Here is a 15,255-nt window from a genome sequence, read left to right as displayed (position 1 = left end):
TTCATTCTGCTGGGGTGCCAGGAAGCTGACCTGTAAGGATTTCAACAATGGACCCCTCTGCCCTCTGGCTTCTGGTTGGTGTTGGTTAATGGAAATATTAATAGGAGATTGCAGGGAGGAAGGAAAAGGGGTCAGGGTATTTACCACCAAGCTTCTTCTCTGCCTGTGTCCTATGGGGCACCTTCTCTCACAGCTCTCACTCCAGGTTCTAGTAAACGCTCCCTCTCCTTTTCCTTGCTTTAACCCTGCACACATGATTCAGACAGTCCCTTTGTTAAATTTTCCTTGAGAACGCCACTTGAGTGACGTCTATTTCCAGTGTATTTCTAGCATGCATCCATGCTAAATGATACCATTAGGTTTTCACATTCACTCAGGAAAGAGAAGCCACTGACTCAGATCACACAACCCAAAAGCAGTGACGCTGGGATTTGAGGCTCCTGGTTCACAGTTTCATGTCAGTTTTTCGACCCTCTCATTCAGAGTGGGGCTAGTTTAGCAATCAGCTCAAGTGACTTCTTGTATTCTAGATGAGTGTTTTCCAAACTGTGGAGCCATGAAATTGATTTAGAGGGTCATGACTCAGTATTACAAGAAAACCAAATAGAAACGGTTAGAATGCAACCCACATAGTAAAGGCAAGTATTGTTTCACTGAACTTTGGCTTCATCTGTATGTATGTGTGTGTGTGGTATCTGTATAGAGTTGCAGTGTAAAATCTATACCTTACTCTGGGCCACAGTCCAAAAGATTCTGAAAGCCTTTGTTCTTTTGCTTTTCTTTTTAGAGAAAGGGTCTTGCTCCAGGCTGGGGCAAGGGTCATCCAGGCAGGAGTGCAGTGGTTCAATCACAGACAACTGCATCCTCAACCTTCTGGGCTCAAGTGATCCCCCCACCTCAGCCCTCATGGGTAGCTGGGACTAAAGGCGTGTGCAACCATGCCTTGCTAATTTTAACAAAAAATTTTTGTAGAGATGGGGTCTTACTATGTTACTCAGGCTGGTCTTAAACTCCTGGCCTCAAGCAATCCTCCCACCTGGGCCTCCCAAAGTGCTAGGATCACAGGCATGAGCCACCTGCTGGGCTGAAAGCCTTTGTTCTGTAGAGAGCAGCAGAGCCCTCTGAGACGTGAATGAGTGAGCCAGCTCCAGCGTGGGTGGGGGCAGACCCTCTCCTGCTTTAGCACGCACTGTGATCCTCTAATAATGAGTGCATCCTGCAGGCCTCCCAAACACCTGGGGCCAGAGAACGCTCTTAGTCTAAAACACACAGCCCCACTCTTCTGAGAAATGCACTTTGGGAAATACTGCTTCTGGGAGAGGTGAATTGCACAGGAGAGCCAGCACCTGCTCTTTGGACGCCCCTGTACTGATGTAGGCCACCCAGGCTTGGGGCAGATGGGCAGGAACAGAAGGAGGGGTGCCGGCCTATGGATTCCAATCTATGCAATTAGTTCCCTAGGCATCAAGGCTGCCTTCCAAAATTTTGGAATTCCATGTGATAATCCAGGGGTTTAATCATTTTTGTATCTTCACACCAGCATAGTAGCTTCACTCTCAGCAAACATCTGCTGAATGCACAAATGACTCCTGTGCACTGTTCCTGCCCCTCCAGGGAGCCAGTGACCATAATGAAAAGAGAATGGGCTTTGGAGTCAGAACCACATCCAGTTTGTGACTTTGGAATATGTTACTTATTCTGAGCTATATCTCCTTCTTAGGCGAATGCAGATGGTAATACATTCCTTAGCATTGTTGTGGGTATTAAATAAGGTAATATACAAAGGCCAAGCTGAGTTCCTGATAGTTGATGCCTTGGCAATGTTATTTTTTTTTCTCTCCCTTAAAGTCCTTCTCTTGCTTAAATTTGTTCTATAGCTTTATCAACTGTTTATTGTCTGTTATCTGCTTGCTTTCCTCCAGGGAAAGGGAGATCGCTACCTTGTCTATCAGCTCTTTCTAGTTTGGGACTAAAGACTGTCTCCTTCTACTGCATTCACTATGTCTGGTTTTATTCACCTAGGCCTCCTACTGCTCCTTAAGGAGACTAAATATTGAGAAAGGAAGAAGAAAAGTAGGGGGTGAAGAATTGGTTTTTTTCAGACCGCCAACATTCCCCTCCAATCAGCCTGGCCTGTTGACTTCTGTCTGGGTCTGCTCCTGCATATTTTCCAGCTCCTTCTTCATTCCTCAGTGCCAACATGCAGAGAGAGCTGGCACCATTGTAGACCAGAGACTTCTCTTGGCACTTTGCAAGCATTGTATGGCCCATTTGTGGTAATAATGTAAAATTTATCTATCTGAGAAATGTGGAACTTTCTTGAGGACAATAGTTAACAGTGACGATCGTTATGTTCATATTTAATTTCTGAGAGAGTAAAAAAAAATCATTAAATGTTTGGTGAGCATTAAGGGGGCTTCAGGCCCATAAGAAATTTGAAGAAATGTAGTGTATGGTTTTATGGGAATAAGTGAATGACTGAATGGACCCATAGCTGGGAAGAGGCATGAGGTGGGACAAACAGGTTGCATGTGGCCATCCCTGGGTTCCACCTCCTGTTACTCTTCCTCTAGTGGTTCCCAAGACTCAGGGTTGAGTCCAAGCATGCAGCCTTCCACAGAGGGGCCATCGTCAGGCATGAAGCCAAGGCAAGCAACTTTGCTTGCTCACTTCAAGGAAGGTCTGCAGATGTGGCCTCAGCCCAGGGCCCTCTGGAAATGCAAAGTTGTTCCATCTCTCATCTCTATAAAGCATCCACAAGGCCCTTTTCAATACCTGGGTTCCCATGTCCCTGGTAGAAACTTGCACTGTAGACGGGCAGGTCTCTAAGGCCCATACTCTGGTCCTGTGTGTTGCTTTTATTCTGTGCCTGGTGAGCAGTGATGGCTGAGTAAATGTTTGTTGAAGGACTGATTGACCCAGTGAACAGATAAGTGAGAGGAAAAAAATAGATGTGCAAGCTCCAGGTTGTACAGGGGTCTGAGTCACTGTAGATTCTGGGGTCCCTGGGGAGGTCCGGCTGGGTGGTGCTATTCCCCGGAATCCTGAGCCTTAGGGTTCAGCTCAGCCCCTATCAGAACAGGACAGAGCTCCTGGACAATCAGTTGTGCAAAAGGCTGAGGGACCTCCTGGTGATGTCTCCCTTTCAGCCAGAGGGAATGTTACTCCTCTAATGACCTAAGGACTTAGAAAGATCTGTGTGAAAATGCTTAGTCTGCATGGGACAGGAATTCTGGGCTTGACTGAGAGCAGCGGTAACTTCTTCCAGTTCGTTCTGGTTGCTGGAGTTTGAATATTTGACCCTGCAAACCTCATGTTGAAATTCGATCCTCAGTGTTAGAGGTGGGACCTAATGGAAGGTGTTTGAGTCATGGGGTGGATACCTCATGAGTGGTTTGGTGATGTCCTGCAATAATGAGTGACTTCTCACAGTATTAGCTCCCCCTAGAACTGTTGTTAAAAAGTCTGCTTCAGTGATCTGTCATCCATACCCCAAACCTCAGCATCATGCAAATATCCATATTAAAAAACATACACTTGTACCCCCTAAGTCTAAAATAAAAGTTGAAATTATTTTTAATTAATAAATGTAGAGGATTAAAAAAAAAAGCCTGATGCCTCCCTCTTCTCTCTTGCTTCCTTTCTCACCATGTGATTTCTGCGTACACCAGCTCCTCTTCCCCTCAGGCTGTGAGTGGATGCAGCCTGAGTCCTCCCCAGAAGCAGATCCTGGCGCCATGCTTTCTGTACAGCCTGCAAAACTGTGAGCTAAATCAACCTCTTTTCTTTATAAATTACCCAGTCTCAGGTATTCCTTTATAGCAGCACGCACGGACTGAGATACCAGTGAAGCTTTGCCTCATCTTTGAGTGTAGGATTGGCCATGCATTGTCTTGTGAGTTTCCTTCTTGTTCCTCCTGCCAGCTGTGATCTGACTCGCTATGCTCTGTAATCCGGTCTCGCTCATGAACCTATCTGCCCCTTGCTAGCAGAGACCGTTTCTACATTTTCACGCCAGAGCCAACGTGTCTCTTACATGGTTGGCGTCCACTCTATGCTTGCCAAATGAATAGGATATTTAAAGGCAAATGATGTTTCAATCATTTTGACTGGAAGAGCTGTCACCAGGAGAGGGTGGTGACTGCAAGTTGTCTAGGTCCTTGGTGTTTTGAACAAAGAATTAAAACGCCCAGCAAAGCAAAGAAAGAATGAAGCAACAAAAGGACAAAAGCAGGGATTTATTGAAAACAAAAGTACACTCCGCTGTGTGGGAGCAGACCCAAGCAGGGGCTCAAGGGCTCGGATACAGAATCTTCTTGGGTCCAAATACCCCCTAGAAGTTTCCTATTGGCCACTTTATGTTCACCTCATGTCTCAGATTGGATGCGGACAGCATGAACCACAGGCTGAAGTGAAGTTACAAAGGTCACACTCCTGTGCAAACATCTGATTGGTTGCACAAAGCAACCAATCAGAGGCTAGGATGAAATTACAAAGTTCTACTTCCATGCAAACGAAGACTCGGCCTGCAGTCAGTCTGATTGGTTGTGGAGTGAAGTTACAAAGTTGCAAATGAATATTTAACCCGCAATCAGTCTGATTTGTTGTTAGAACAGCCAGTTTCCCATCTGTCCTGCAGAAAACGTCAAAGGGAGTAGCCTCTGGTACTTTTGTTACTTAGGCATGGAAAGTTAGGGTTTTCCTTTCAAATTAGTTCTAGGAAGTCAGGTGTGAAACAACCTTAGGTTCCCTGCCTCCAGACCCTATTCTCCTGCCTCATCTCCCCGCTGAGAGAAATGATCCCCATAGGTCTTCATGGGAGGCAGAGGCACTGAAGGTCTTTCTTCTCTAACTGCTTCATGCTGACTTGGGGCATAGTCCCTACCTGTTGGAGATCATGGAACTCTCACCTTACTCTGTCTAGTGGAGGCAGGGTGGCTTCCTGATGGCCAGGGGTGGTGCCTTCACCTGGAACTGGCTGAAACCTTGTTGCACAGTCATCTGAAGCTCAATGGTCTCTATGCTAGAGGAAATGGATTCGGTTAAAAGATTTAATGGGCAGCCGGGCGCAGTGGCTCATGCCTGTAATCCCAGCACTTTGGGAGGCTGAGGCAAGTGGATCACTTGAGGTCAGGAGTTTGAGACCAGCCTGACTAACATGGTGAAACCCTATCTCTACTAAAATTACAAAAATTAGCTGGGCATGGTGGTGGGCACCTATAATTCCAGCTACTCAGGAGGCTGAGGCAGGAGAATCACTTGAACCCAGGAGGTGGAGATTGCACCATTGCACTCCAGCCTGGGCAACAGAGTGAGACTCCATCTCAAAAAAAAAAAAAAAAGATTTAATGGGAACTTCAGGAGGTTGATACCTATTTTGTCAGAAATGTTTGTCATAGAGATTTGCAGGAGAAAAAACAAAACCTGGTCTGTTTTAGAATCTATGTGTTTCCTTAAAGTCAGCATGAGTGACTCCATTTTTGTTCAGTTTGGTTTGTTGTGGCCTAGTGCATGAGCTTAGTCCAAAACAATGGCCTCCCAGAATTTTGTTTAAAAATTTCCCCATTTTTCACTTAGGTGAGAGCATGACCAAAATTTAGGGCCTTAGCATCACTCTCAGTTACCATGATTTTGAGTTTCCAATCTCAGCACATCATTTATAGGTTATGGTGTCCTCATGGTTGCACATTTCTTTCAGTTCCTGTTATTCCAGTTGAAGAGAGACTGTATGACATTCTGGAGATGGCCAAATGCAAGCATTAAAAACCTTTGAGAGAATACAATGCACCAGGGAGACTATTATTATGACTATTGGGAGGATAGTACCAAGAGTTTGGAGTATGCTCCTTACCCAAGGTTCCCATAAACCAAACCTCCTAACATCAAATAGATCAAAGAATGAGCTGGATAAAGAATTTACTTACCTAACTAAGTGATCTCTTCATTAATTCTCTACCACTGAATTTCTATAATCTTCATTTGATGTATTTCTCCATAGGCCATAAGTGCCAGCAGCTGCATAGGTACTTTTTGTTTAGCCAATTATATTATTTAGCATAACGTTCACAAGAGAATTTAAAGTCTGTTGTGTAACTGTAGCCTTTACAGTAGAATTTGCTATAGAACCTATCATGAGGGTTACATTTCTTATCTTTGCTTCTTTACTTTAAACCATGGAAAAAAGACCTAACAAAGGATGCCCTTTTAGAAAAGTGAAGGCCTTCTGGCAATGTTCTCTTTAACCCATGATGTGGGTTAAGAGGAGTAAACCAATGTTTTGTTTTTGACTGATTATGAGGCAGTGCATGTATGATTAAAGTTTCTTACCTACATTGGGCCTTCATATTTTATCTATTAAAGTACAAGGTTACCCATGTATAAGGCTGGCTGCAAAATCCTTCACAAATAAAAGTACACCCCATAAGAAAAAAAAATTCAAAGATAAGAATTTCATGATAGTAGAAGTCTTAATCTGTGAATTTGAAAAAGCTGTTCACATCAAAGATGCCATCTTCTTCTTGGGAGAAATTTCCCTGGTTAGGTTTACCTCTAGGGTTCCAATGGGTGCACAGCTCCAAAAGTGTGGAGGGACCCTTCTCAATTGTGAGACTATGAACTCAAAGTCCAAGGTCCTGAAGTTTTGTTGTAGTGTGGATGGCAAGAACAGTCCTTCTTTGCTGTTTCTAGAAGATGTAAGCCATAAAAAGCTTTTTTACCCGGTAAAAATACACTGTAGCATAATAATCTACTGTTACAACATCACCCCTCTTGCATGGGAAAGCTTTTATACAACTAGAAAACATGCACTGAAAATAACAATTGAATGAAACCCCTTTATAAAATGTCTAAATGGCCCATCAGGTGACCAAATGTACCTGAAGCTTTAATTGTTTTCCCAGTAATATGGGATTAAGCACTGGTTATAAATTATTTTAAACAATTTGTAAGTCATTGCACCAATGTATTTAATTTGGATTATTTTATCTTTTCCGTGATGAGTCATGGAATGCATAACTTTTAGAAACAAAAGCTTTAAGGATTCACGAAGGACAAGGTGGACATCCTGGTTTTCATGAGTCCATGTTTAATTAACATTAGACTTATATCCTCTTTGATACCAGTTTATTTTCCAAATTAGGTACGTAGCACTGACAAGTTATTTCTATGATTTATAATAACTTAACATAATAACCATAATTATCATTGATAGCATATACTTAGACATTAGAATTTTAGAAATCCCATATATTTTTTTGGAACATACATTAGTATTATTCACAAAAATACAACCTAAAGAAGATTGAACATCATTTTGGCAATCCCATGTGCGTAAACAAGTCAAATAATCCTGTATACCTTCTTTCTGGATGTTTTCAGGGGCCCTCTGATTCATCCAAAAAGCCGGGCATTAGGAAAGACAATTTTAAAACTAAAGTTTGCTTTTGGAATTCCAGATTACCATAAATTATTTATTTTGCCAAAATGATGACTGAGAAATTTTAAAGAAGTAAAAATCTTTTGTAACCTTTTACAAAACAAAAAACAAAAAAAAACTGAAAAAACACTTTCTACTGTTTTTACACACCTTGCATGTAAAACTATTTCTAGTAGTCTTAACCGCATGTTACAGTGGTGACTTTAAGCAATTTTAACTTTAATGTAAAACCTCTTAAGTTATGTTCTGATAACCTTTGACTGTTTCCAGCATAGCTAGGGTGTGGCCAACTCCACATGTCCCCAGGCCTTAACTAGCTGGAAAGCAGGCAAGTTAAATAATTTTCAAAAGCCAAAGAAGCAGTTTATGACCTTAAAGCGTTTAGCAAACCTAGTATTCAAACGTAATTTAGACCACGTTTACATTTTGAAGACAATTGTATTTCACCAATAATTTTTAAAACTGTCTTTATTTCCCAAAGAATACTCAAGTCAAATGAACTAAGAAAGTTCGCATTATATTTTCACTTTTCTGACAAAATGTTTGATTTAAGCTTTTATTATTATTAAACCAATTAATTTAGAACTTTACACAGGAGATATATAGTGACTTCTACTTTATATTTAACCAGTTTGCACAGAAAGAAAGAGGCCAGAGACTGACTGGTAAGAAATTCTTACCCTTTTGCCGGCGTGCCAGGTTTCTGGGTTCTCTCTCCCTGAGCAACCCTGGCAACCCTGCTTGACTGTATGCAAATGAATACATTGCAATGAATTAGACTGTTTACATATACTTTACAGATTTTGGAGAAATTAGAGAGAGAGAAATATGACTCAAATTCTATTTGTGAGAGTATACTCAACACACTTAAACTATCAGGAACCCTAAAATTCAAAAAGTTAGTTAAAGGATAAAAAGCTGGCATGGGCCGGGCGCGGTGGCTCACGCCTGTAATCCCAGCACTTTGGGAAGCTGAGGCGGGCAGATCACGAGGTCAAGAGATCGAGACCACCCTGGCCAACATGGTGAAACCCTGTCTCTACTAAAAATACAAAAATTAGCTGGGCATGGTGGCGCACGCCTGTAATCCCAGCTACTCAGGAGGCTGAGGTGGGAGAATCGCTTGAACCTGGCAAGTGAAGGTTGCAGTGAGCCGAGATTGCACCACTGCACTACTCCAGCCTGGTGACAGAGCGAGACTCCATCTCAAAAAAAAAAACAAAAAAAAAAAGCTGGTGTGCTCCGTTAATTTCTGCAGGCCCAACAAAGGTAGCTTAGGAATTCCAGATAAATGAAATGAATGAGGACTTGCAAGAAGTGCATAGGATCACAAAACTAAATAAAACCTTCCACTAGGAACTGGAAAACATCATTTATTTATATATATGGATACAAGCAAAGCCACAGGAGAATAAACAGCAAAGAAATGAAAACTAGAAGCCAAAACAAATAAGCAGGAAACCAGGTGTAAATTTTTATACTCAGTTTACCCTGGAGGCTGCAGTGTTATCCCGGGCCCTAAAAAACCCACATAATGAATATTTTATTCCCCATACACAATTCAATATCCTTAAGTTTACCAATATCACATTCTGTGCAATCAAGAAATCCACTTAAGGCACATGACCAATAAGTACTCTAGCACTATCCATGCAAAACAGTAAACAGTGTGAAACAACGCAAACATGTATGTGAAATTTGGCTCCACACTAAATTTAGTTTCATGCTTAACTATATTATAAAAAAGAATTATCAAACTGCCAATGCATTTTTACAATACTTCTTATTTTACTTTAATTAATACTAAGGGCTTTAACTATGAAAGTGTTAATTAGCCAAATGTCTCCAAGGTTTCCAGGTTTGAAAGAACATTTTATTATTTAACTTTTTCCACACTTTTCTCCCCTACTTAATGAGTCCTTACTACATTGTTTCATAAATAACTTTTTCAAATCTGTAATTTGAACTAACTTTTAGATAACTTCTGGATTAGACAAAATTATTATTCTTTTTTTTCTAATAAAATAACCCTTTCCGGCACATTTTGTGTACAGAATTACATGTTAACTAGAATTTTATCCTTAGTAACCTAAAACTTTAGTGAAACTCCAAAAAGCAAGAAATCCTGAACCATCAGATATGGGCATTTATAGATAAGAACTATCAGATATGGGCATTTTCAGATAAGAAAAATAGATGGAATTATGAATTCCATAATTTTTGAAACATATTTCCTCATATTACAACACTTTCTCAATTGGAAATGGCCCAGATATCAAATGGGTGTTAAAAATAGCTCTAAGATTTTAATTTACACAAAAAGTTTACCTAAAACATTTATCCCACTCACTGTACTTAATTTTGACTTTTAACAAAGGAGACATGTAACATCAAATAACATATGTAAAACAAACATTGATTTGGTCCCAGAAGGCGGGACAACTCGAGGCGAGGAGGCTGGGGGCTTTCCAATCACAGGTGGGAGACAGAGGGTTGCATTCTTTTGAGTTTCTTATTAGCCTTTCCAAAGGAAGCAATTAGTTATGTATTTATCTCAGTGAGACTTTGAATAGAATGGGAGGCAGATTTGCCCTAAGCAGCTTCCAGCTTGAATTAACACTGACATTTTAAAATATCTAGCACAGAAAAACATAAAATTCAGCCAAAATGTATGTTGACAATTCTGAAAACATTTCTATTTTTATTCCACCAATAATTTTAAAGCTAGCTCGTTTAGTAAAGTTATACTTTAAGTCACATGAACTTGAAAATTGCTTAGACTTACTCAGTTTTCATGAGCGCTCTTTCACTTATAAGCCAATTTTGTAGACACAATATACAACAATAAGTGTACATTTGTTGTATAAACACATCTAGACATGTATACACACACATAAACAAAGATCCAACAGCTCGGAACCTTAGCCATGAGATAGCAGTACAAGCTTGCCGGTTTTACTTTGCCCCAATAGATAATCCAAGGAAGGCTGTGAACCAAAATTTTGGATAAAGCAGTCTCCTTGGCAGTTTGAATTTTAAAGGCTAAACCTCCCCAGACTCCAAGGAGCACTGGGGCCAAACAGTACCAAAGCAAGGCATCACACGTTAACCAGGCCCCTGCTTAGAACGGCAGCACAAAAGCCTGTGATAAGTCTCCAATGAATGGAGGTACACCAGGGTCCTTAATCTTGCACCAAATTGGATAAAACGACATGGACGCACGTGGAGTGGTTTTAAGGAGTGGAGTGTTTAATAGGCAAGAAAGAAGGAAGAAAACAGCCTCCCTGTACAGAGACAGAGGGAGAGGGGATTCGAACAAAGAGAAAACCCGTGTGGTGGGAAAAGTGGCTGCTTATATGAGGAGGCTGGAGGAGGTGGTGCCTGATTTGCATAGGGCTCAGGGGATTGGTTTGACCAGGCATATCACTCACGTGGCCCGCAAAAACCTGGCCCTCCCACCCTAACCTTTTAATATGCGAATACAGGGCGCCATGGTGTCCTACACACCTGTGGATATGTGGGGGTGGCCATGTTTCCAGGCCCAAGTCGGGGCAATGGCAAGAAGACAGCGGGAATCACCATGTTTGGGTGGACCCAGTTTCTAATGGCCGGGATTTGGATATCAAAGCTTGTCGGCGGGATCTAAGAGCCGGGCCTTTCCTGCTAGACAAGAAAGGTTTCTGGAGCTGCTTTAAAAGAAAAACTTCCCAAGGACCCCTTTTCCTCTCTATCTGCCTAAAATAACTTCTTAATAACTCCTATAAGACCTGTATTTATGCAATACCATCCCACTTTTCCATTAGACAGTAAACTTCAGATTCTAGACACTTTTCGGTCCAAGCAGCATTTCAACTCCGAGAGGAAATTCTAAGGAGGACTTAATACTAGACCTCTGAACCTCTGCCAAGGGCATCCCCTTTGGAGAGTTTGAGGTCCGTAGAACCCAAAGAACGTCCTCCTGCGGGGTCCAATCTTAAGAGTTCCAGACGTCTCTGGCCTTAGGAGGGGGCGCCACATGCAGGTTTTCCTCTCCAGAGCATACTGTGAGCTTTATAAAAAATAATCATGATCTGTAATAAGAACTGGATGCTGGGTGGGCCGTTTTGTTCCTTAGCCAGTTGAGTACGATTAGGGAAGAATTTAGCATAAGAAAAGAAGGAGTTTAAGTCACCTGAAACGTGTGTGAATTTGCCCTGGACGAGCTGCCGCTGCCAACTGCGTCACATGCAGTTGTGAAAGGATAACTGGAAAGGATAGTAAAGTGTCTTTCCCCCTTCCAGGCAGGGCAGCCATCCCTGTTCACTCCCTGGACTTCAGAGATCACTGGAGAGCGGCCCTGGCCAGTTCCTCTCAATTACCAAGGAGCCACTAGGAAACAGCTGCTGAAAGACTGAAAAAGGAGGAAAGGAAAATAACTCAGAAAAAGGGAAAAAGGAACAGGACTCAGAAAAATGAAAACAAGAAAAGGACTCAGGTCCCTCACCCGAACTGGGCGGCGGCAGTAAGGCGCTTCCATGTGGAAACCTTTCAGTTTCACCAGAGTGGCGCTGGCCAGAAAGTTGCAGTTGTCTCCATGCTTAGGCACTGTCCACAGAGGGTCCCGAGTTGAAAAGGAAAAGAGAGAAAGATTTAAAAGGGGAAAGGAGAAAAATAAATCCCAAACTTTGGGCCTACCTTTCCTCCTGGCTGGCTTGCCAAGATACGTCACCGGTAGAGGGTCATAACTGCAAGCTGTCCAGGTTCTTGGTGTTTTGAACGAAGAACTGGACAAAATGCCCAGCAAAGTAAAGAAAGAATGAAGCAACAAAAGAACGAAAGCAGGGATTTATTGAAAATGAAAGTACACTCCACAGTGTGGGAGTGGACTGAGCCGCAGTGGCTCAAGAGCCCAGATACAGAATCTTCTTGGGTCTAGATACCCCCTAGAAGTTTCCCATTGGCCACTTCTTGCTCATCTCAGGTAAGTGAAGTGGTAGCCCACAATCAATCTGATTGGTTGCAGAAAGCAGCCAACCAGAGGCTGAAGAGAAGTTACAAAGGTCACCCTCCTGTGCAAACATCTGATTGGTTCCTAAAGGAGCAGTCACAGGCTAGGATGAAGCTACAAAGTTATACTTCTATGCAAATGAAGACTCGGCCTGCAATCAGTCTGATGGGTTGTGGACAGTAACCTTTCAGAGGCTGGAGAGAAGTTGCAAAGTTGCAAACGAAGACTTGACCGGTAATCAGTCTGATTTGTTGCAGAACAGCCAATTTCCCATTTGCCCTGGAGAAAAGGTCAAAGGGAGTAGCCTGTGGTCCTTTTGTTACTTAGGCATGGAAGGTTAAGGTTTTCCTTTCAACTTAGTTCTAAGAAGTCAGCCTGAAGCAGCCTTAGGTTCCCTGCCTCCAGACCTTATTCTCTGCCACAGAGCCAGGGCTGGAAATCTTGCAGTCTTTTTCTGTGTTTATCATCCAAGGATGAGAAGAGAGAACACAATGGAATCTACCGATAGCAAATCAAATGTCACTGTGTCTGTGCTGATGGCAGGCTGTTTCTCATTTGCCCAAATTATCAACCCCATCGTGCTATGCTCATGTTAGATTGTTTGGGAAAACAGACGACATATGTTAGAATGCTAAATAAGCTGAAACTGTGCCAGGATGGAGACAGAAGGTGTTTATTTTTAAGTGGAGCGTGGCACTCCAGAGTGACTTACTGTGGCAGGAAGGAGGACACTGAGGGGAAGGCAGCATGGCTGCAGCAAGAGGCTGAGAGTTAAAGCAAATGACTGTTCCCAAACAGAAATGAGTGGCATCTGACCCCTCAGTTAGCTGGAGGGAGACTCAATAGATTTGGTTAGACAAGGCTTAGCTTCCAGGTGGTTTTAGCTTTTCTCTTGAGCCTCTGATTCCCACCTGAGTGCACATGGTCAACAAACTTTTATTGTAGCACCAGGAATACGGCAACCAAGAGCTGGCGCATTGCTCTGCACTGACGCCCTTCTTTGACTTCCTGGGGCTTTCTAGGGTTTTTTTTTTTTTTTTTTTGAGACGGAGTTTCGCTCTTGTTGCCCAGGCTGGAGTGCAATGGCGCAATCTCAGCTCACCGCAACCTCCGCCTCCCTGGTTCAAGCGATTCTTCTACCTCAGCCTCCGAAGTAGCTGAGATTACAGGCGTGTGCCACCACGCCCAGCTAATTTTGTATTTTTAGTAGAGACGGGGTTTCTCCATGCTGGCCAGGCTGGTCTCGAATTCCCGATCTCAGGTGATCCTCCCGCCTCAGCCTCACAAAGTGCTGGGATTACAGGTGTGAGCCACCATGCCCAGCCGCAGGATTTGGTGTTTATCTTAACACAGTTGATAGGCCCTGTGGGTCCTCACTGTGCTCATCCTCCAACCTTGCTTGGTGCTGCCTGACCCCTTACTCACCAGGCTGCTGCCAAGTGCCTTTCCTGTCTCTCTTTCTTTGCTGATATTTACTCCTTCTCAGAAAGTAACTCCGTGGCTCTCAGCCCCTGCTGAGTGTTAGAATCATCTGAGGAGCTTAAAAAAAACAATACCCAAGCTCCCCCGTAGTCAGTAAAATCAGACCCTGTAGGGATGTGTAACTGCACCAGACCGGTCTGGCTCAGCTTCCACGTAACAAGGTTGTGAGTTGTTGTTCAGTTGCCATGGACCTGCAGGTCGAAGGTCACATTGCTGGAGCATGCCCAGATGAGCCAAGTGCGCGACGATGGGCAGCCCCAAGTGCTCGAACTGAGGAGTGAGACCAAATTTAAAAGTGGATGCCACATGGCAGGATCCAGGATTCAAGCACATCAAACCCTGGCATTGTCCTGCGGCAGGATCAGTGAGATTATGCCTCCCAGCATCACCTCATTGCAAGATCCAAGCAGATCACACCTTATTACCCTGTGCTTATAAAACCCCACTCAGCCCCCAGCTCAGGGAGACAGATTTGAGGGTTTCCTCCTGTCTCGTTGCCAGTTGACCGGCAATAATTTTTTTTTGTTTTTCTGCAAAAATCCAGTGTGTCAATTTTTTGGCTTTCCATTGCACACAGGCAAAGTGACTCCATTTGGTTAGATAACAATGGGATGAGCACAGATGACGCTGAGGCACCCTCAGGACATTACAGTACAGGTTGTTCAAAACTCCTTAAGTGACCTCTTGGATCTGCCAGAAAACGTGGACTGTAGAGAGGGCAGGATTCCTCAGGAGGCACTCACCCCTCCACACTGTGGGCTCACTCCACTAAGTGCCTTCCCAGACTGACTGCCCTGTCTCTGCCCTAAATCTGGGAAGATCACAATGCAATGTTCTCTCTGTTTAGCATTCAGAGAAGAGAAAAGTGTGTGGATCAGACATCGCAGGAGGCAGGCCTCCATGCAAGAAAAAGGTCTGATGTCTTGTTTGGTGCATTGAGAAGGCAGGAGAAGCAGATGTAGGTACCAAAGCATTAACGTTTTTCAGGAAAGTATGGCAGAGCAGGTGGCAATGTTGGGAACACTGACCTGTTTGGAAATGCCACAGTGGATGGAACATGCACTCTAATTTTACTTCCTCAAAAGTTCATTCCGTTTTTATGGAAACCCCACTTCTCATTAAAATTACCAGTTTATAATTACAATCTTCTGTCAAGCACATCCAAGAAATGACCTTTCTTCATTTGAAATACTATAAAAATTAAGCTTTCCTAGGCTGTGGGCTGAACTCCTGGGACAGGCTTTTTAAAAAAAGTACTAAATATTACTTTCAAAGTTCTCTAATTGCCTAAATTAATAATGGCATTTTTTTTGCTTCCTGTAACCGACAAATGAATTTGAATCTCTCTCTA

General features: G+C 42.9%; 1 long non-coding RNA gene and 1 pseudogene across 2 annotated transcripts in view, besides 1 other annotated feature; one reads left to right on the top strand and one right to left on the bottom strand.

Moving 5' to 3' along the window:
- LOC100420587 (SHC binding and spindle associated 1 pseudogene) overlaps positions 1–15,255 on the top strand; it is a 292,307-nt pseudogene that overhangs the window by 270,088 nt on the left and 6,964 nt on the right. The gene's annotated exons all lie outside the window — the stretch shown is intronic.
- On the bottom strand, positions 7,106–12,323 carry LOC105372349 (uncharacterized). Its single transcript, XR_935886.3, has 3 exons — positions 12,110–12,323; positions 11,919–12,019; positions 7,106–11,825 (listed from the first exon to the last, which is right to left on the bottom strand). It is a non-coding gene; the product is annotated as an uncharacterized LOC105372349 (long non-coding RNA).
- Positions 11,110–11,817: an enhancer, noted in NCBI's record as "NANOG-H3K27ac hESC enhancer chr19:28936697-28937404 (GRCh37/hg19 assembly coordinates)". NCBI's record gives its function as "activates a minimal SCP1, AML or CMV promoter by ChIP-STARR-seq in naive H9 embryonic stem cells {active_cell/tissue: H9 hESC(naive)}" and the evidence as "EXISTENCE:reporter gene assay evidence [ECO:0000049][PMID:30033119]".

Source organism: Homo sapiens, chromosome 19 (genome assembly GCF_000001405.40).
Source record: "Homo sapiens chromosome 19, GRCh38.p14 Primary Assembly".
NCBI lineage: Eukaryota > Metazoa > Chordata > Mammalia > Primates > Hominidae > Homo > Homo sapiens.
This window is presented reverse-complemented; position numbering and strand designations above follow the sequence as displayed.